The sequence below is a fragment of the Homo sapiens genome, chromosome 12 (assembly GCF_000001405.40).
Source record: "Homo sapiens chromosome 12, GRCh38.p14 Primary Assembly".
Classification (NCBI taxonomy): domain Eukaryota; kingdom Metazoa; phylum Chordata; class Mammalia; order Primates; family Hominidae; genus Homo; species Homo sapiens.
The window spans coordinates 59,749,172-59,771,448 of NC_000012.12; the positions used below are offsets into that span (position 1 = coordinate 59,749,172).

At 36.9% G+C, this 22,277-nt stretch overlaps 1 protein-coding gene across 14 annotated transcripts in view; it reads left to right on the top strand.

The window, feature by feature from the left end:
- SLC16A7 (solute carrier family 16 member 7) overlaps window positions 1–22,277 on the top strand; it is a 193,813-nt gene that overhangs the window by 153,143 nt on the left and 18,393 nt on the right. For 5 of the 14 annotated variants that reach the window (NR_073056.2, XM_011538989.3, XM_011538992.3 and 2 more), the window contains 2 exons: window positions 11,954–12,031; window positions 22,048–22,191. Coding sequence is in view for 12 of the 14 variants with exons in the window: in XM_011538989.3 (XP_011537291.1) it covers window positions 11,954–12,031; window positions 22,048–22,191 (222 nt within the window). In the remaining 2 variants the exon portion in view is untranslated. Of the gene's footprint in view, window positions 1–11,953; window positions 12,032–12,089; window positions 15,110–18,947; window positions 19,153–22,047; window positions 22,192–22,277 lie in introns of those variants that run through there. The other 9 variants (NM_001270623.2, NM_001270622.2, XM_024449276.2 and 6 more) reach the window with 4 other exon arrangements.

Here is a 22,277-nt window from a genome sequence, read left to right on the forward strand (position 1 = left end):
AGGCTAACTGTACTGTTTTGAGCAAATGCAATTTATGATTAGGACTGCCCTTATCTACAAAGGCGATAACTCCTGAGTTTTGAAGGGACAAGATCAACACCAGCTGCCAGTCTTTTTGCTGTACAACAAGAAGGCCTGGACAATGAGAACCCTTTTTCTGTATTGGTTTCATTGATGCTTTGTGCCTCAATTCAGGAAGTACCTTGCCAGTAAGGGCTGCCATACTGGCAGTTTTTTTGATATTGGATAATGACCTTGACCACCCAAAACCCCACGAATTCAGTGCCAAAGGTGTCGAAGTGGTCTACTTGCCCCCATACACAAAATATCTCATTCAGCCTCTAGATCAGGAGGTGAGGTCATAGCACCTTTAAGGCTCATTACACATGGTACTCTATGGAAAAAATGGTCAACGCTGTGGAAGAGAACCTCTATATAGAGAGTATCATGGATGTTTGGAAGAATTACACCCTTGAAGATGTCGTTATTGTTATAGAAAAAGCCATGAAAGTCGCCAAGCTTGAAGCAATAAATTTCTGCTAGAGAGAAGATGTTTTGCAAGACTTCACAAGATTTATGATAGAGCCAATCAAAGAAATCATGAAAGAGATTGTGGATGTGGCAGAAAAGGTTGGAATGTAAAGGACTTCAAGATATGGATCTTGGAGAAATTCAAGAGATAATAAAAATCACACCAGAGTAATTAGTAGAAGCTGACTTGATGGAGATGAAAGTTTCCAAACCAGCGCCAGACATTGAGGAAGAACACATAGAAGAAGCAGGGCAATGGGGAAAGCATTCCCTATTTAACAAATGGTGTGGGGAAAACTGGCAAGCCATATACAGAAAACTGAAACTGGACCTCTTCTTTACACCTTATACAAAAATTAACTCAAGGTGCATTAAAGACTTAAATATAAGACTTTAAACCATAAAAACCCTAGGAGAAAACCTGGACAGTACCATTCAAGACATAGGCATAGGCAAAGACTTCATGACTAAAACACCAAAAGCAATGGAAACAAAAGTCAAAATTGACAAATGAGATCTAATTAAACTAAAGAGCTTCTGCACAGCAAAAGAAACTATCATCAGAGTGAACAGGCCACCTACAGAATGGGAGAAAGATTTTGCAATCTATCCATCCGACAAAGGGCTAGTATCCAGAATCTACAAAGAATGTAAACAAATTTACAAGAAAAAAACAACCCCATCAAAAAGTGAGCAAAGGATATGAACAGACACTTCTCAAAAGAAGACATTTATGCAGCCAAGAAACATGAAAAAAAGCTCATTATCACTGGTCATTAGAGAAATGCAAATCAAAACCACAATGAGATACCATCTCATGCCAGTTAGAATGACGATCATTAAAAAGTCAGGAAACAACAGATGCTGGAGAGGATGTGGAGAAATAGGAACACTTTTACACTGTTGGTGGAAGTGTAAATTAGTTCAACTGTTGTGGAAGATGGTATGGCGATTCCTCAAGGATCTAGAACTAGAAATACAATTTGACCCAGCAATCCCATTACTGGGTATATACCCAAAGGATTATAAATCATTCTACTCTAAAGACACATGCACTTGTATGTTTACTGTAGCACTGTTCACAATAGCAAAGACTTGCAACCAACCCAAATGCCCATCAATGATAGACTGGATAAAGAAAATGTGGCGCATATACACCATGGAATACTATGTAGCCATAAAAAAAGGATGAGTTCATGTCCTTTGCAGGGACATGGATGAAGCTGGAAACCATCAATCTCAGCAAACTAACACAGGAACAGAAAACCAAACACCACATGTTCTCACTCACAAGTGGGAGTTGAACAATAAGAAAACATGGACACAGGGAGGGGAACATCACACACTGAGGCCTGTCGGGGGGCGGGGGGCTAGGGGAGGGACAGCATTAGAAGAAATACCTGGATCGCTGGAGCCAAGATTTGCTGGAGCCAAATAGGAACAGCTCCGGTCTACAGCTCCCATCGTGAGCGACGCAGAAGACGGGTGATTTCTGCATTTCCATCTGAGGTACTGGGTTCATCTCACTAGGGAGTGCCAGACAGTGGGCTCAGGACAGTGGGTGCAGCGCACCGTGTGCGAGCCGAAGCAGGGCGAGGCATTGCCTCACTCGGGAAGCGCAAGGGGTCAGGGAGTTCCCTTTCCTAGTCAAAGAAAGGTGTGACAGAGGCACCTGGAAAATCGGGTCACTCCCACCCCAATACTGCGCTTTTCCGATGAGCTTAAAAAACGGTGCACCAGGAGATTATATCCTGCACCTGGCTCGTAGGGTCTTACGACCATGGAGCCTTGCTGATTGCTAGCACGGCAGTCTGAGATCAAACTGCAAGGCGGCAGCGAGGCTGGGGGAGGTGCGCCCGCCATTGCCCAGGCTTGCTTAGGTAAACAAAGCAGCCAGGAAGCTCCAACTGGGTGGAGCCCACCACAGCTCAAGGAAGCCTGCCTGCCTCTGTAGGCTCCACCTCTGGGAGCAGGGCACAGACAAACAAAAAAGACAGCAGTAACCTCTGCAGACTTAAATGTCCCTGTCTGACAGCTTTGAAGAGAGCAGTGGTTCTCCCAGCATGCAGCTGGAGATCTGAGATTGGGCAGACTGCCTCCTCAAGTGGGTCCCTGACCCCTGACCCCCGAGCAGCCTAACTGGGAGGCACCCCGCAGTTGGGGCAGACTGACACCTCACACGGCCGGGTACTCCTCTTAGACAAAACTTCCAGAGGAACGATCAGACAGCAGCATTAGCGGTTCACGAAAATCCGCTGATCTGCAGCCACCAGTGCTGGTACCCAGGCAAACAGGGTCTGGAGTGGACCTCTAGCAAACTCCAACAGACCTGCAGCTGAGGGTCCTGTCTGTTAGAAGGAAAACTAACAAACAGAAAGGACATCCACACCAAAAACCCATCTGTACATCACCATCATCAAAGACCAAAAGTAGATAAAACCATAAAGATGGGGAAAAAACAGCAGAAAAACTGGAAACTCTAAAAAGCAGAGCACCTCTCCTCCTCCAAAGGAACGCAGCTCCTCACCAGCAATGGAACAAAGCTGGACGGAGAATGACTTTGACGAGTTGAGAGAAGAAGGATTCAGACGATCAAACCACTCTGAGCTACAGGAGGAAATTCAAACCAAAGGCAAAGAAGTTGAAAACTTTGAAAAAAATTTAGACGAATGTATAACTAGAATAACCAATACAGAGAAGTGCTTAAAGGAGCTGATGGAGCTGAAAGCCAAGGCTCGAGAACTACGTGAAAAATGCAGAAACCTCAGGAGCGGATGTGATCAACTGGAAGAAAGGGTATCCGTGATGGAAGATGAAATGAATGAAATGAAGCAAGAAGGGAAGTTTAGAGAAAAAAGAATAAAAAGAAAGGAGCAAAGCCTCCAAGAAATATGGGACTATGTGAAAAGACCAAATCTATGTCTCATTGGTGTACCTGAAAGTGACAGAGAGAATGGAACCAAGTTGGAAAACACTCTGCAGGATATTATCCAGGAGAACTTCCCCAATCTAGCAAGGCAGGCCAACATTCAGGTTCAGGAAATACAGAGAACGCCACAAAGATATTCCTCGAGAAGAGCAACTCCAAGACACATAATTGTCAGATTCACCAAAGTTGAAATGAAGGAAAAAATGTTAAGGGCAGCCAGAGAGAAAGATCGGGTTACCCACAAAGGGAAGCCCATCAGACTAACAGCGGATCTCTCGGCAGAAACTCTACAAGCCAGAAGAGAGTGGAGGCCAATATTCAACATTCTTAAAGAAAAGAATTTTCAACCCAGAATTTCATATCCAGCCAAACTGAGCTTCATAAGTGAAAGAGAAATAAAATACTCTACAGACAAGCAAATGCTGAGAGATTTTGTCACCACAAGGCCTGCCCTAAAAGACCTCCTGAAGGAAGCACTAAACCTGGAAAGGAACAACCAGTACCAGCCACTGCAAAATCATGCCAAATTGTAAAGTCCATCGAGGCTAGGAAGAAACTGCATCAACTAACGAGCAAAATAACCAGCTAACATCATAATGACAGGATCAAATTCACACATAACAGTATTAACTTTAAATGTAAATGGACTAAATGCTCCAATTAAAAGACACAGACTGGCAAATTGGATAAAGAGTCAAGACCCATCAGTGTGCTGTATTCAGGAAACCCATTTCATGTGCAGAGACACACATAGGCTCAAAATAAAAGGATGGAAGAAGATCTACCAAGCCAATGGAAAACAAAAAAAGGCAGGGGTTGCATTCCTAGACTCTGATAAAACAGACTTTAAACCAACAAAGATCAAAAGAGACAAAGAAGACCATTACATAATGGTAAAGGGATCAATTCAACAAGAAGAGCTAACTATCCTAAATATATATGCACCCAATACAGGAGCACCCAGATTCATAAAGCAAGTCCTGAGTGACATACAAAGAGACTTAGACTCCCACACATTAATAATGGGAGACTTTAACACCCCACTGTCAACATTAGACAGATCAACGAGACAGAAAGTTAACAAGGATACCCAGGAATTGAACTCAGCTCTGCAACAAGCAGACCTGATAGACATCTGCAGAACTCTCCACCCCAAATCAACAGAATATACATTTTTTTCAGCACCACACCACACCTATTCCAAAATTGACCACATACTTGGAAGTAAAGCTCTCCTCAGCAAATGTAAAAGATCAGAAATTATAACAACCTGTCTCTCAGAACACAGTGCAATCAAACTAGAACTCAGGATTAAGAAACTCACTCAAAACCACTCAACTACATGGAAACTGAACAACCTGCTCCTGAATGACTACTGGGCACATAACGAAATGAAGGCAGAAATAAAGATGTCCTTTGAAACCAATGAGAACAAAGACGCAACATACCAGAATCTCTGGGACACATTCAAAGCAGTGTGTAGAGGGAAATTTATAGCACTAAATGCCCACAAGAGAAAGCAGGAAAGATCAAAAATTGACACCCTAACATATCAATTAAAAGAACTAGAAAAGCAAGAGCAAATACATTCAAAAGCTAGGAGAAGGCAAGAAATAACTAAAATCAGAGCAGAACTGAAGGAAATAGAGACCAAAAAAACCCTTCAAAAAATTAATGAATCCAGGAGCCGGTTTTTTGAAAGGATCAACAAAATTGATAGACTGCTAGCAAGACTAATAAAGAAGAAAAGAGAGAAGAATCAAATAGACGCAATAAAAAATGATAAAGGGGATATCACCACCAATCCCACAGAAATACAAACTACCATCAGAGAATACTACAAACACCTCTACGCAAATAAACTAGAAAATCTAGAAGAAATGGATAAATTCCTCGACACGTACACCCTCCCAAGACTAAACCAGGAAGAAGTTGAGTCTCTGAATAGACCAATAACAGGCTCTGAAATTGTGGCAATAATCAATAGCTTACCAACCAAAAAGAGTCCAGGACCAGATGGATTCACAGCCGAATTCTACCAGAGGTACAAGGAGGAACTGGTACCATTCCTTCTGAAAGTATTCCAATCAATACAAAAAGAGGGAATCCTCCCTAACTCATTTTATGAGGCCAGCATCATCCTGATACCAAAGCTGGGCAGAGACACAACCAAAAAAGAGAATTTTAGACCAATATCCTTGATGAACATTGATGCAAAAATCCTCAATAAAATACTGGCAAAACGAATCCACCAGCACATCAAAAAGTTTATCCACCATGATCAAGTGGGCTTCATCCCTGGGATGCAAGGCTGGTTCAATATACGCAAACCAATAAATGTAATCCAGCATATAAACAGAACCAAAGACAAAAAACACATGATTATCTCAATAGATGTAGAAAAGGCCTTTGACAAAATTCAACAACACTTCATGCTAAAAACTCTCAATAAATTAGGTATTGATGGGACATATCTCAAAATAAGAGCTATCTATGACAAACCCACAGCCAATATCATACTGAATGGGCAAAAACTGGAAGCATTCCCTTTGAAAACTGGCACAAGACAGGGATGCCCTCTCTCACCACTCCTATTCAACATAGTGTTGGAAGTTCTGGCCAGGGCAATTAGGCAGGGGAAGGAAATAAAGGGTATTCAATTAGGAAAAGAGGAAGTTAAATTGTCCCTGTTTGCAAATGACATGATTGTATACCTAGAAAACCCCATTGTCTCAGCCCAAAATCTCCTTAAGCTGATAAGCAACTTCAGCAAAGTCTCAGGATAGAAAATTAATGTACAAAAATCACAAGCATTCTTATATACCAATAACAGACAAACAGAGAGCCAAATCATGAGTGAACTCCCTTTCACAATTGCTTCAAAGAGGAATAAAATACCTAGGAATCCACCTTACAAGGGATGAGAAGGACCTCTTCAAGGAGAACTACAAACCACTGCTCAATGAAATAAAAGAGGATACAAAGAAATGGAAGAACATTCCATGCTCATGGGTAGGAAGAATCAGTATCATGAAAATGGCCATACTGCCCAAGGTAATTTCTAGTTTCAATGCCATCCCCATCAAGCTACCAATTACTTTCTTCACAGAATTGGAAAAAGCTACTTTCAAGTTCATATGGAACCAAAAAGGAGCCCTCATCGCCAAGTCAATCCTAAGCCAAAAGAACAAAGCTGGAGGCATCACGCTACCTGACTTCAAACTATACTACAAGGCTACAGTCACCAAAACAGCATGGTACTGGTACCAAAACAGAGATATAGATCAATGGAGCAGAACAGAGCCCTCAGAAATAACGCTGCATATCTACAACTATCTGATCTTGGACAAACCTGACAAAAACAAGCAATGGGGAAAGGATTCCCTATTTAATAAACGGTGCTGGGAAAACTGGCTAGCCATATGGAGAAAGCTGAAACTGGATCCCTTCCTTACACCTTATACAAAAATTAATTCAAGATGGATTAAAGTCTTAAACGTTAGACCTAAAACCATAAAAAGCCTAGAAGAAAATCTAGGCATTACCATTCAGGACATAGTCATGGGCAAGGACTTCATGTCTAAAACACCAAAGCAATGGCAACAAAAGCCAAAATTGACAAATGAGATCTAATTAAACTAAAGAGCTTCTGCAGAGCAAAACAAACTACCATCAGAGTGAACAGGCAACCTACAAAATGGGAGAAAATTTTCCCAACCTACTCATCTGACAAAGGGCTAATATCCAGAATCTACAATGAACTCAAACAAATATACAAGAGAAAAACAAACAACCCCATCAAAAAGTGGACGAAGGACATGAACAGACACTTCTCAAAAGAAGACATTTATGCAGCCAAAAAACACATGTAAAAATGCTCACCATCACTGGTCATCAGAGAAATGCAAATCAAAACCACAATGAGATACCATCTCACACCAGTTAGAATGGCTATCATTAAAAGTCAGGAAACAACAGGTGCTGGAGAGGATGTGGAGAAATAGAAACACTTCTACACTGTTGGTGGGACTGTAAACTAGTTCAACCATTGTGGAAGACAGTGTGGCGATTCCTCAGGGATCTAGAACTAGAAATACCATTTGACCCAGCCATCCCATTACTGGGTATATACCCAAAGGACTATAAATCATGCTGCTATAAAGACACATGCACACGTATATTTATTGCGGCACTATTCACAATAGCAAAGACTTGGAACCAACCGAAATGTCCAACAATGATAGACTGGATTCAGAAAATGTGGCACATATACACCATAGAATACTATGCAGCCATAAAAAATGATGAGTTCATGTCCTTTGTAGGGACATGGATGAAATTGGAAATCATCATTCTCAGTAAACTATCTCAAGAACAAAAAACCAAACACCGCATATTCTCACTCATAGGTGGGAATTGAACAATGAGAACACATGGACACAGGAAGGGGAACATCACACTCTGGGGACTGTTGTGGGGTGGGGGGAGGGGGGAGGGATAGCTTTAGGAGATATACCTAATTCTAAATGACGAGTTAATGGGTGCAGCACACCAGCATGGCACATGTATACATATGTAACTAACCTGCACATTGTGCACATGTACCCCAAAACTTAAAGTATAATAATAATAAAATAAAATAAAATAAAAAAAGAAGAAATACCTAATGTAGGTGACGGGTTGATGGGTGCAGCAAACCACCATGGCACGTGTATACCTATGTAACAAACCTGCACATTCTGCACATGTATCCCAGAACTTTAATAATAATAAAAAAAGAAGACAAAGTAGTTCCAGAAAACAAATTGACATTAGATAATCTGACAGAGGGTTCTAATTATTCAAGACTGCTTTTGATTTTTTTCATGACTTGCACTCTTCTATGATACAGGCACTGGAACTAAAGCAAAATGGTGGAAGAAGATTAGTCCTCTATAGAAACATTTTTAGAGAAATGAAAGTGCAAAAATGTCAGACAGAAATTTCTGTGTATTTTCACAAAGTTACACCGTGTGCCTGCCTCTCCTGCCTCTCCTGCCTCCCCTTCCACCTCCTCCACCTCTTCCATCTCTGGCACCCCTGAGTCAGCCAGACCAACTTCTCCTCTTCCTCCTCCTCCTCAGCCTACTTAACGTGAAGATAATGAGGATTAAGACCTTTTTGATAGCCCACTTCCACTCCATTAATAGTAAATATACTTTCTCTTCCTTATGATTTTCTTAATTGCATTTTCTTTTTGCTAGCTTCAGTTATAAGAAGACAGTATATAATACATATACAAAATGTGCGTTAATCTATTATTTATGTTATCAGTAAAGCTTCCAGAGTCAGCAGAAGGCTATTAGTTTTTTAGCCATTTTAGCTATTAGTTATTTTTTGTTAATTGACAAATAAGTATTACATACAATTCACCCTTGAACAACACAGGGTCCAACACAAGGGTTAGGGGGACCAATCCTCCATGCATTCAAAACTGCATACACAGAGTGTGTTGTTCAAGGGTCAATTGTATGTAATTTTTATTTGTCAATTAACAAAAAAAAATTAGAAAAAAACTATACCATGCTTTACTGTACACTTAAAAATTTGTTGAGACTAGATCTCATGTTAAGTGTTCTTACCACAGTAAAATAAATTTTTCAGAAAGATTTTAGAAAACTTAGGAATAATTATTAGATTTTAATTTATTAAAGGATATTCTATATTTTCCAGCAGATACTGTATTTTCTCATATGCTACTTCCTCTACAAAGGAAGATGGGAACAATTTACATTTAAATGTTAAAACTTTGTTTTTAATGAAACTAGCATGAGGTATCCTCAAAAAGGGGAGTAGAATCTCTACAACAGATAGCATAATTATTATAGGGTATTTATTCAATCATAATAATTCATAACACAAATAGAATAAAATGATAATATTGATGTAAAAAAATAAAGCAGGGAGAAACAAAAAAAGAGATAGACCCAGCAGAATGTGAATGGAATCATAATGATTACCAGTTTATATGTACATAATATGTATTTGAGAAGAATGTGTAAACCACTGTCTCATATGATTGGCATTTCTATAAATTTAACAAATTTCTTAACTATGATAATTATTTATTGTTGCTACAGTACCACATGCACATCTCTGTGCCACTTTGTTTTAAGATAAGTCTGTAATTCACAGTGAACTGGTTCTTGGGCATCAATTTATGACAAATTCATTTTCATTTGTCAGATAGCTTTAGGATAACATTATTTTAATGCGTGTATGTATTGTTTCATCTCCAAGTCTTGTTGCCATTTTTAAGGGCTGTCAGCTGTATTACATAATTTGATATGGAAAATATTTTGGGTCAATCATTAGTCTTTTTTATGAGTCTTCTGTATGGACTTTTTTTTCTATTTAAGGAAAGACATGTACATTCTGAAACTGGACATATATTATTAATCTACTACTACATATACTAATCTAATCTGATGACTACTGAGTATTTTAATAATAACCATGTAACTTGGAACTTTTATCCTTCAGAATTATGAAAGTAAGCATATATTTTATAGTATTTAGGGTAGAGTGTGAAGAAGTATCTAGCATAGTAGTTGAGTTAAAATCAATCCATCTTTCTATGTGCCTATCTACATAGCTGCACTTTTATCTGTCTGTTAAAGTCTGTTCTTTATATACCATTGGAAACATTCGAGGGTCATTAAAATAGGACCCCATTTTCTTGTTCACTGAATAAGATTTACTTCATATTTATGGGCATTTTTCTTAAAACCTCTTGACAATAGTTAGGGATGCAAAGAAACATGGTAAATTATATCCTTGAAGTTCTTATTTTGTCGGTTATTTGCCAGATACTTTTAATTTTATCATTTGCCTTTAGAATACAGTTTTTTATTTACGTCCCAATGTTTCTTTACAGATTACTGAACTATGAAAAACAATATTTATATTTCAAGAAAAGTAACAGTCTTATTAATGAATGTAAATAGACATCTTTCTTGTGATTTATGTTATTAAGGCACAATAGTAAATATTTTATAAAATATTTGTAGGCTGTATTTGAGATAAATTCAGGGGAAAATATTTTATTTCAGAATGCTCTGATGCTCTGCCTCTGAGATATAGAACAATGCAGTGGTGTGTTTAGGATAACTTATGCAATATTAAAGGCTATCTTTTCTGTGGAATTATTTTTGGTCAGTTCCTATAAACAATCTTTTTTCTTCCTTAAATTGCACAATTAACTAATATTAGCATGACATTTTAAACCTAGCAATTATGTTTTTCTAATGAGATTTATGTGTAGATCAAAAATAGATGGCCTCTGATCTTCATGGCCATAGAGAAAATAAATATGTTTCTTGTGAACACCCTGGAATTTTCCCAGTTTTATGGATCACATTAATTTAAAAATCTATCATAGATCTTAGTGTCTGAGAAATACACAGAAACTATACCCGTTATTACAAGAACAAAACAATTCAAACTCGGCCTTGTGAAACTAAAATAAATCTAAACTTGAGACTTTTATGTAGAGTGCAGACAAAAAGCATTGGCATTTCCAGGAATAAATCTAGATTTTATTCCCTCTAAAAATTATACCATTTGGGAAAAACTGTTTGAGAAAGAAAAATATGAATGTTGTCTTACCTTTCAAATTTTATTAAGCTTATGACCATGTGAACACATCTCTAGGTCCTCCCAGGTCCTTGGAAGTGACCTATAAAAGTGCAGGGCTCTGGAGATTAAGCTGCATTTCATAGTAAACTCACAATCGCATATTCAGTAATCTCTCCTTATCTGTGGGAGATATGTTCTAAGACCCTCAGTGATGACCTGAAATCACAGATAATACTCAACACTATATGCCCTTAAAATAGGCACAAGAAGAGATTAACAACAATTCATAAAAAAGAACAATAATATACTTTAGTAAAAGTTACGTGAATGTGGTTTCTTATTCTCAAAAGATCTTACTGTACTATACTTGCCTTTTTTCTTCTTGCAATCTGTTAACCTGATAACTAAGAGGGCTGCTAAGTAACTAATGGGCAGGTAATCTATACAGCGTGAATACACAGGGCAAAGGAAGGATTCACATCCCAAGCAGGTTGAAGCAGGACAACACGAGATTTTATCATGCTACTCAGAACAGTGCACAATTTAAAACTTATGAATTATTTATTTCTGGAATTTTCCATTTAATATTTTTGGACCTTTGTTGACCACAGGTAACTGAAACGCTGAAAGTGAAACCTTGGGTAAGGGGGACTACTGAAATAAAAAGACATGAAGCAAGGAGCAGATTGGTTAATCGTTTCATTGTTGTTAGTGAAATATATCGTAACATTGTGCATGGATTCTTCTGTTAAATATTAAACCACGTGTATTTTTTAAACAACTAGTCTTCAAATACTTTAAATATTTAAAAAATCACGTCTTGACAATATGATATTTAATTGAAGAAGTTACTGCAAAATGTACTTGTGTTTACAGGTAGAATATTTGAAAGCTTTTTGATCTTCACATCCTTGAGGATTCAGTGCAGCTTTACTCAATCAGGATCATGCCTAGGTACATGAAACTGTATTGTTAAATACTTGGTTGATAAGATTTAGATTTCTTTTTTCATCTTCTGTTTTAGAAGCATTTATATTCTCTTAAAGTCTGATGGTTAGGTTTCTAACTTTTCCAGTATTTGGATTGGTAAATGTACTACTTAAGTTACATAAATGCTTTATTATTGGTAATGGCACATATAAAATCTCAATGCATTTATATGACTCTCTAGTAATTTGTTATACAAAGAGTACAGAAAACAGTGATTTACCATAGACTATTGTTTACATCTGAATCTATTTGTTCAACTCTTTTATTACCATTGCCTTGTTTGGCTCATATAAATTTTATTTAATTTTTCTTTCTAACTAATCACAATGATACCAAATTGTAGTATATAGTTTTATTTGTAGCATAGATTGCTCTCTAAAAATATGTACCATGAGTACATGTGTAAATCAATGAACATCAACTTAAACAGTAGCTATTTCATGTGAACTACACACATTCTTGTCAAGAAACAGGAGTAAATGGCTGAGGCCCAGGCATAATTCCTTGGAAGTGACAATGCCAAAATGCCCAAGGAAGCTCTTGGCAGGGCTACTCATTTGTTTTCACATATTTATCTATTTGTTCCCTTGGTTTCAAGGCTTTAAACAGAAATTCAGAGCATTTTCATGGTATCTGGGCATCATTACAATATTTACTAAAAGAGAAGTCCTAAACATGGTCATTTTATGGGAGAAATCAGTAGCACATGGTGTTTATGCAATGTTATATATGATTTTACTCATTATGCCAACTGTATTAAGGGGATTCCATCTTTCTTTGGGCCCTCATCAGGCTACCACGATATACAATGAGTGGTATACTTAAGCTCTGGCTGAATTGTTCTGTAATGTAATCTGACTCAAGGAGAACAAATGGAGAGGGTCTTTGTCATTCTACTGTGTCATGTGAATTTTCTCTGTTTCTGGAGTCTAAGTTGTTCTGTTTTTCACCTGCTATTTGAGAAATTTTTTACAATTTTCGTGTCATAAGCCAGAATGCAATGGGATGAATATGGAGCCTTTCTTTTTATACACTCTCTTGAAACTCTTCATGAAAAGCTTTCTTATTGAATTGTTTCATTCTAGCTTGAATATCGAAATGGAATGTGTTACGATAAATTCATAAGTACGTTTCTATTATTATACTATTTATATAGTTATGACACATTGTGAATTGAATGAAAGGTCTTATAAAATTCTGAAAAGCTGTGCTGTTGCTTGTGTATTATTTATTTATATCTCTAAAATTATCCACTGACTGCAAATTGTCCGTAAGGGACATATTCAATGTAAAACAATCATTCCCAGAACTAAAAAAGGTCTAAAAATTTCTTTTGAATTTTCTTTCTACTACAAATTTTTGCATAAGAACAGAAACAGTAACTTCTTTCTAAAACAACAATGGAATCTCAATATCAAAATTAGTCTGGTTAAGTACAGCATGACTGTAGGCCTAGCTGCTTGGGAGGCTGAGGTGGGAGGATCACTTGAGGCTCAGAGTTTGAGGCTGCAGTGTACTATAATAGTGCCTAGGAACAGCCACTGTACTTGAAGCTGGTCAGCATAATGAGACCACATCTTTCTCAAAAAAAAAAAAATCTGATGCTCAGTATCAATCATTTAAAAATAAATGAATGAATGATCATGGGACAGAAAAATGATAAATTCTGTATTCAATCTACATTTGAACTTATATTTTTGTTACATCTCTGCAAATTATTTTCATGGGTTTAAGTATTTTTAATTCATTTTATTTTTATTTGCAAAAACATTGCACATACATCTAATTTTTAAAAATTTTCTGGGATCATAAGACTACATGGTTAAAATATTCTATTATACTTTTATAGCAGATTCAATCAAAATAAGATAATTACTGAATAAAATGTAAACATTGACTAGAAATGTCCCTTTTAATGAAATCAATAGGCATCCTGTATATCTATAGATGAATAATTTTTAGTGCTAGTTAAGCAGATACAGGTTTTTGTCTCAATTATATTTCTTTCTTGGTTTTTCTTGGTTTTTAATTGAGGTACGTGCTGAGTAACTTGTTCACATAATAAAGTAGATGACAGTGGAAAGTATTTTATTTTCAGTATTAGTCAATTATTTGAACTTGCCAAAAATCACATAATGATTTATTATCAAAAATTATTTGTAATGATCTGTGGACTGACAATTCACTTGAATCTTCCCTCAATATTGTGAAGAGCAGAAAATTGGAAACCATCTGATTAACAAAAAGATTATTTCTAGTCAATAAACTTAGCATTTCTGAGAAGTGTCTCAAAAACATTTACCAAAACTTAAAAAATGAAAATAACTATACTGCCTTTTTATCATTTAGAGGCAAAAAATCAAAAAATTAAAATACAGGTATACTTCTACTTATTGCATTTCACTTTATTGCACTTTGCAAATACTGCATTAATTACAAATTGAAGGTTTGTGGCAACCCTGCCTTCAGAAACTCTGTTGGCACCATTTTTCATGACAGCATGTGCTGACTTTGTGTCTTGTGTCACATTTTGGTAATTCTCACAGTATTTCAAACTCTTATTGTTATTATATCTGTTATGGTTATCTTTGATGTTGCTATTATAATTGTTTTTGGGTGCCATGAACTGTGCCCATATAAGAGGGTAAGTTTAATGTTGTGTGCATTATCACTACTCCATAGACCAGCTGTTCTGCTATCTCTCCCCCTCTCCTAGGGCCTCTCTACTGTCTGAGATACAACAGTATTGAAATTAGGCCACTTAATAAACCTACAGTGGCTTCTAAGTGTTCAAGTGAAAGGAAGAGTTGCAAGTCTCTCATTTGAAATCAAAAGCTAGAAATGATTCACCTTAATGAGAAAGGTGCTGAAAGCACAGGCTGAAAGCTAGGTGTCTAGCACTAAGGTTAGCCAAGTTGTGAATGCAAAGGAAAAGTGAAGAAAGTTTTAGAAGTTTGGATACAAGATCAAACCACCCACAACATTCCCTAAGCCAGAGCCTAATCCAGAGCAGGGCCCTAACTGTCTTCAATTCTACTGAAGGTAAGGAATCTGCAGAAGAGAAGTTTGAAGCTAGTACATTTTTTTGTTTTTGTTTTTTATTATTATTATACTTTAAGTTTTAGAGTACATGTGCACAACGTGCAGGTTTGTTACATATGTATACATGTGCCATGTTGGTGTGCTGCGCCCATTAACTCGTCATTTAGCATTAGGTATATCTCCTAATGCTATCCCTCCCCCCTCCCCCTCCACCACAACAGTCCCCGGTGTGTGATGTTCCCCTTCCTGTGTCCATGTGTTCTCATTGTTCAATTCCCACCTGTGAGTGAGAACACGTGGTGTTTGGTTTTTTGTCCTTGCGATAGTTTGCTGAGAACGATGGTTTCCAGCTTCATCCATGTCCCTACAAAAGACATGAACTCATCATTTTCTGTGGCTGTATAATATTCCATGGTGTATATGTGCCATATTTTCTTAATCCAGTCTATCATTGTTGGACATTTGGGTTGGTTCCAAGTCTTTGCTATTGTGAATAGTGCCGCAATAAACATACGTGTGCATGTGTCTTTATAGCAGCATGATTTATAATCCTTTGGGTATATACCCAGTAATGGGATTGCTGGGTCAAATGGTATTTCTAGTTCTAGATCCCTGAGGAATCGCCACACTGTCTTCCACAATGGTTGAACTAGTTTACAGTCCCACCAACAGTGTGAAAGTGTTTCTGTTTCTCCACATCCTCTCCAGCACCTGTTGTTTCCTGACTTTTAATGATAGCCATTCTAACTGGTGTGAGATGGTATCTCATTGTGGTTTTGATTTGCATTTCTCTGATGGCCAGTGATGAAGAGCATTTTTTCATGTGTTTTTTGGCTGCATAAATGTCTTCTTTTGAGAAGTGTCTATTCATATCCTTCGCCCACTTTTTGATGGGGTTGTTTGTTTTTTTCTTGTAAATTTGTTTGAGTTCATTGTAGATTCTGGATATTAGCCCTTTGTCAGATGAGTAGGTTGCAAAAATTTTCTCCCATTCTGTAGGTTGCCTGTTCACTCTGATGGTAGTTTGTTTTGCTGTGCAGAAGCTCTTTAGTTTAATTAGATCTCATTTGTCAATTTTGGCTTTTGTTGCCGTTGCTTTTGGTGTTTTACACATGAAGTCCTTGCCCATGCCTATGTCCTGAATGGTAATGCCTAGGTTTTCTTCTAGGGTTTTTATGGTTTTAGGTCTAACATGTAAGTCTTTAATATATCTTGAATTAATTTTTGTATAAGATGTAAGGAAGGGATCCAGTTTCAGCTTTCTACATATGGCTAGCCAGTTTTCCCAGCACCATTTATTAAATAGGGAATCCTTTCCCCATTTCTTGATTTTGTCAGTTTTGTCAAAGATCAGATAGTTGTAGATATGTGGCATTATTTCTGAGGGCTCTGTTCTGTTCCGTTGGTCTATATCTCTGTTTTGGTACCAGTATCATGCCGTTTTGGTGACTGTAGCCTTGTAGTATAGTTTGAAGTCAGGTAGCGTGATGCCTCCAGCTGTGTTCTTTTGACTTAAGATTGACTTGGCAATGCGGGCTCTTTTTTCGTTCCATATGAACTTTAAAGTAGTTTTTTCCAATTCTGTGAAGAAAGTAATTGGTAGCTTGATGGGGATGGCATTGAATCTATAAATTACCTTGGGCAGTATGGCCATTTTCATGATATTGATTCTTCCTACCCGTGAGCATGGAATGTTCTTCCATTTGTTTGTATCCTCTTTTATTTCCTTGAGCAGTGGTTTGTAGTTCTCCTTGAAGAGGTCCTTCTCATCCCTTGTAAGTTGGATTCCTAGGTATTTTAATTCTCTTTGAAGCAATTGTGAATGGAAGTTCACTCATGATTTAGCTCTCTGTTTGTTATTGGTGTATAGGAATGCTTGTGATTTTTGCACATTGATTTTGTATCCTGAGACTTTGCTGAAGTTGCTTATCAGCTTAAGGAGATTTTGGGCTGAGACATTGGGGTTTTCTAGATATACAATCATGTCATCTGCAAACAGGGACAATTTGACTTCCTCTTTTCCTAATTGAATGCCGTTTATTTCCTTCTCCTGCCTGATTGCCCTGGCCAGAACTTCCAACACTATGTTGAATAGGAGTGGTGAGAGAGGGCATCCCTGTCTTGTGCCAGTTTTTAAAGGGAATGCTTCCAGTTTTTGCCCATTCAGTATGATATTGGCTGTGGGTTTGTCATAGATAGCTCTTATTATTTTGAGATATGTCCCATCAATACCTAATTTATTGAGAGATTTTAGCATGAAGGATTGTTGAATTTTGTCAAAGGCCTTTTCTGCATCTATTGAGATAATCATGTGGTTTTTGTCTTTGGTTCTGTTTATATGCTGGATTACGTTTATTGGTTTTTGTATGTTGAACCAGCCTTGCATCCCAGGCATGAAGCCCACTTGATCATGGTGGATAAGCTTTTTGATGTGCTGCTGGATTCGTTTTGCCAGTATTTTATTGAGGATTTTTGCATCGATGTTCATCAAGGATATTGGTCTAAAATTCTCTTTTTTGGTTGTGTCTCTGCCAGGCTTTGGTATCAGGATGATGCTGGCCTCATAAAATGAGTTAGGGAGGATTCCCTCTTTTTCTATTGATTGGAATAGCTTCAGAAGGAATGGTACCAGTTCCTCCTTGTACCTCTGGTAGAATTCAGCTGTGAATCCATCTGGTCCTGGGCTTTTTTTGGTTGGTAAGCTATTAATTATTGCCTCAAATTCAGAGCCTGTTATTGATCTATTCAGAGATTCAACTTCTTCCTGGTTTAGTCTTGCGAGGGTGTATGTGTTGCGGAATTTATCCATTTCTTCTAGATTTTCTAGTTTATTAGCGAGATTGCTTCTTTCCTTAAACGTCATGAATCAACATTTACTAGCTTCTAGTATGCAAATAAACTAGAAGCTAGTAAATGTTGATTCATGAGGTTTAAGGAAAGAAGCCATCTTGCTAACATAAAAGTGAAAGGTGAAGCAAGAAATGCTGATTAGAAACTGCAGCAAGTTATCCTGAAGATCTAGCTAAGATCATTGATAAAGGTGACTACACTGAACAACAGATTGTCAGTGTTGATGAAATAGCCTTCTATTGGAAGTAGATGCTATCTAGGACTTTCATTGGTAGATAGCAGAAGCCAATGCTTGTCTTCAAAGCTTCAAAGGACAAGCTGACTCTCTTGTTAGGGCCCAATGAAGCTGGTGACTTTAAGTTGAAGCAAAGCTCATTTACTATTCTGCAAAATCTGTGGCCCTTAATAATTATGCCAAATCTGTTCTGCCTGTGTTTTATAAATGGAATAGCAAAGTCTGTATAATAGTACATTTGTTTACAGCGTAGTTTGCTGAATATTTTAAGCCCACTGTTGAGACCTGCTGCTAAGAAAAAAAGTTCCTTTCAAAATATTACTGCTTATTGACAATGCACCTGGGTCACCCAGGAGCTCTGATAGAGATGTACAAGGAGGTTAATATTGTTTTCATGCCTGCTAATACAACATTCATTCTGCAGCTCATGGATCAAGGAGTCATTTCAAGTTTCAATTTCAGCAAACTATCGCAAGGACAAAAAACCAATCACCGCATGTTCTCACTCATAGGTGGGAATTGAACAATGAGAACACTTGGACACAGGAAGGGGAACATCACACACTGGGGCCTGTCGTGGGGTGGGGGGAAGGGGGAGGGATAGCATTAGGAGATATACCTAATGTAAATGAGGAGTTAATGGATGCAGCACACCAACATGGCCCATGTATACATATGTAACAAACCTGCACGTTGTGCACATGTACCCTAGAACTTAAAGCATAATAAAAAAATTTAAATACATTTTGTAAGCTTACAGCTGCCGTACATAATGACTCCTCTGATGAATCTGGGAAAAGGAGATGGAAAATCTTCTGGAAAGGATTTGCTATTCTAGATAACATCACGATCATTCACTGTTATGGGAGGAGGTCAAAATACCAACATTAACAGAAGTTTGGAAGAAGTTTATTTCAATCCTCATGGGTGACTTTAAGAGGCTCAGGACTTCAGTGAAGTAAGTAACTGCAGATGTGGTAGAAATAGCAAGAGAACTAGAATTAGAAGTGGAGCCTGAAGGTGTGACTAGATTGCTGCAATCTTATAAAACTTGAATCAAGGAGAGTTGCTTCTTATGGATGAGCCAAGAAAGTGGTTTCTTGAAATATAATTTACTTCTGATGAAAATGCTGTATATATTGTTGATATAACTACAAAAGTTTAGAATAGTACATAAACTTAGTTGATAAAGCAGTGGAAAGGTTTGAGAGAATTGACTCCAGTTTAGAAAGAAGTTCTACTGTGGGTAAAATGCTGTCAAATGACATCGCATGCTACAAAGAAATCTAGCATGAAAGGAAGAATCAACTGATGCAACAAACTTGTTTGTCTTATTTTAAGCAATTGCCAGCCAGGTGCAATGGCTCACACTTATAATCCCAGCATTTAGGGAGGCTGAGGTGGTAGTATCACTTGAGCCCAGGAATTCAAGACCAGCCTGGGCAACATAGCAAGGCCCCGTCTCTATGAAAAAAATTAAAAAGAATAGCCAGGCATGGTGGCACACACCTGTGGTCCCAGCTACTAGGGAGACTTAGTTGGGAGGATCTCGAGTCTAGGGGGTCAAGGCTTCAGTGAGCTATGATCGATCCACTGCACTCCAGCCTGGGTGACAGAGCAAGACTCTGTCTCAACAACAACAACAAAAGATTGCCATAGCTACCCCAGCCTTTAGCAACTGCCAACCCTGATCAGTCAGCAGCCATCAACATCAAAACAGGACCCTCCACCAGCAAAAAGACTGAAAATCACTGAAGGCTGAGATGATCATTAACATTTTTTAGCAATAAAATATTTTTAATTGTTATGCACACTTTTTAGATATAATTCAATGCACACTTAATATAGTGTGTAAAGTGTAAACGTAACTTTTATATGCACTGAGAAACCAAAAAATTTGTGACTCACTTTATTGCAATATTCACTTTATCAAGGTTCTCTGGAACCTCACCTGCAGTGTCTCTGAGGTATGTCTTATATAATATGTGTTATATATATTCTCTACGTGTATAATTTATTTTCTTCAGCTCTTCAGGTGAACTTTACCATGTTAGGGACAGAATTATATTCTTTTTATACAACTTGTACAATTTTCTTTTAGTTCTTCCCTCCAAACCCTGTTGTTTTTATAGAGCATTCTTTCATGTGGCCTTTTTAAAGTTTTATGTTGCTTGCTATTATAAATGCAAACTTTTGTATTCTGTGTTTGAGTTATCTCTTTCTGAAATTGTGTTATTACCAATATTCTTTCAAAAGATATTGTGGAGTTAATAGTATTAGGCACTGAAGTTTAATTTTAAATTTTTTTGCAGAATAAAAATAATAATTATATTTGTATAAAAGGATATGAGTGCATTGATAAGTGAATCTCAATGTGTTTTATATATGATCCATGTAAAAATTCTCAAATACAATACACTTGGAAATTCTTAATACCATAGTATTAGCTGAAAAATTATGTTTTTTAGGCCAAATATTGGATTGAAAATTCTGACCTAACCTAGTATTTATTTCCTCCAAATAGTGTCCCTAGTTTCAGATGAAATACAATTTTAATTTAAGAATGAAATATGAAAGCAAGCCATTTATACATTGACAAGTCCCATAAAGTACTATGGAATTTAATCAAGTCTAAGATAGTCTCAATTGTTAAGTTACACTGTTATTTTATAGTACACCAAGAAAGAAAATAATGCTGTCACTGAAGTAAAACACAGTTTCTTAACATTTAGAATTTTTATAACTACTAAAAGAACTTTTTTAGACTTAAATGCAGATTATTTTAATAATTTTAATCACTTGTGAATATTTTATGTATATACACACACAGACATACATTGGAAAATATACATTAAAAAATTGGTAAGGCATTCCTAAACCTTCTTCCCTTTCACTACCGGACTCTTCTAAATTACTTTGGAGTCTGAGTTTTCAACATTCACATCTCACACCTAAGCTTATTCTGTCAGTGTGCAATATATTTTAACAGAGAGATCCACCATTTTTCCAGTGATTTCATCTAAAGAGCTACACCCAATCTTTAAGTTTTGATGTTGCTATTTACTCCACCTTACTAGAACGTGTCAACAGAAGATTTTCCTGTCAAAAATCAGGATTTATATTTATATTCATTTTTCAAATGCTCCTTAAAAGGTTCTACTGAAATGTGATTAAGCATTGTCCAATCAAGCCACAGGAAATAATAACCAAATTCAGACATGCATAGTCCATGATAACAACATTACTACCTATGACTGCCTCTTGATGAACCTATATTGGAAAAAGTCATTAGGTGTAAGACATCCTTTATGCTAATATGATAGGATGTGAAAACAATAGGTGTCTTAGAATCAATAAATTATAGTATTAAAGAAAAATCACTGTTGAAGATAATTTTAAAAAACAATTTCAGCTCTAATTAATGGCATATGTATGTGAATACAGACACATTATTCTAGAAAATAAAATTTTAACAGACAAGTCATTTATGTAATTCCTAGATTTTTTTGTTACATAAATTTACTTGCATCTTTTAAGATGTTTTGGATATTTTAGGTATGTTCTATTGAAAAACTTTTCCATCAAGATTTGAATGATTATGGTTACAACGAAATATATGTTCAACACTTCTAATTTATTATTTCATGTGCTTTTATACATATGACTGAAAATAACCTGTCAAACTGATCATTTGTGAAGTATTGAAAAGTTCTCATTATGTTTCATGTGAACTAGTATTTCTCCTCTGACCATTAAAATGTGCTTTCTTGCCTTTCCAAATGATTGGATGTTAAAGATAAACAAATAAATGACAAGAGCAACTGAGTATTTCTTTATCTCCTCTCTGCTGTAGGTCCTGTAAGTAGTGTTTTGGTGAATAAATACGGCAGCCGGCCGGTGGTGATAGCAGGAGGCTTATTATGCTGTCTTGGAATGGTGTTGGCCTCCTTTAGTAGCAGCGTGGTACAGCTGTACCTCACTATGGGATTCATTACAGGTAAGCCATTTAGTCTTCAGCTTATTCTTAACTCTTCTGTTATTTTCAAAGCTCTATGAGAAGAATGAACAACAGAAAATTCTTAT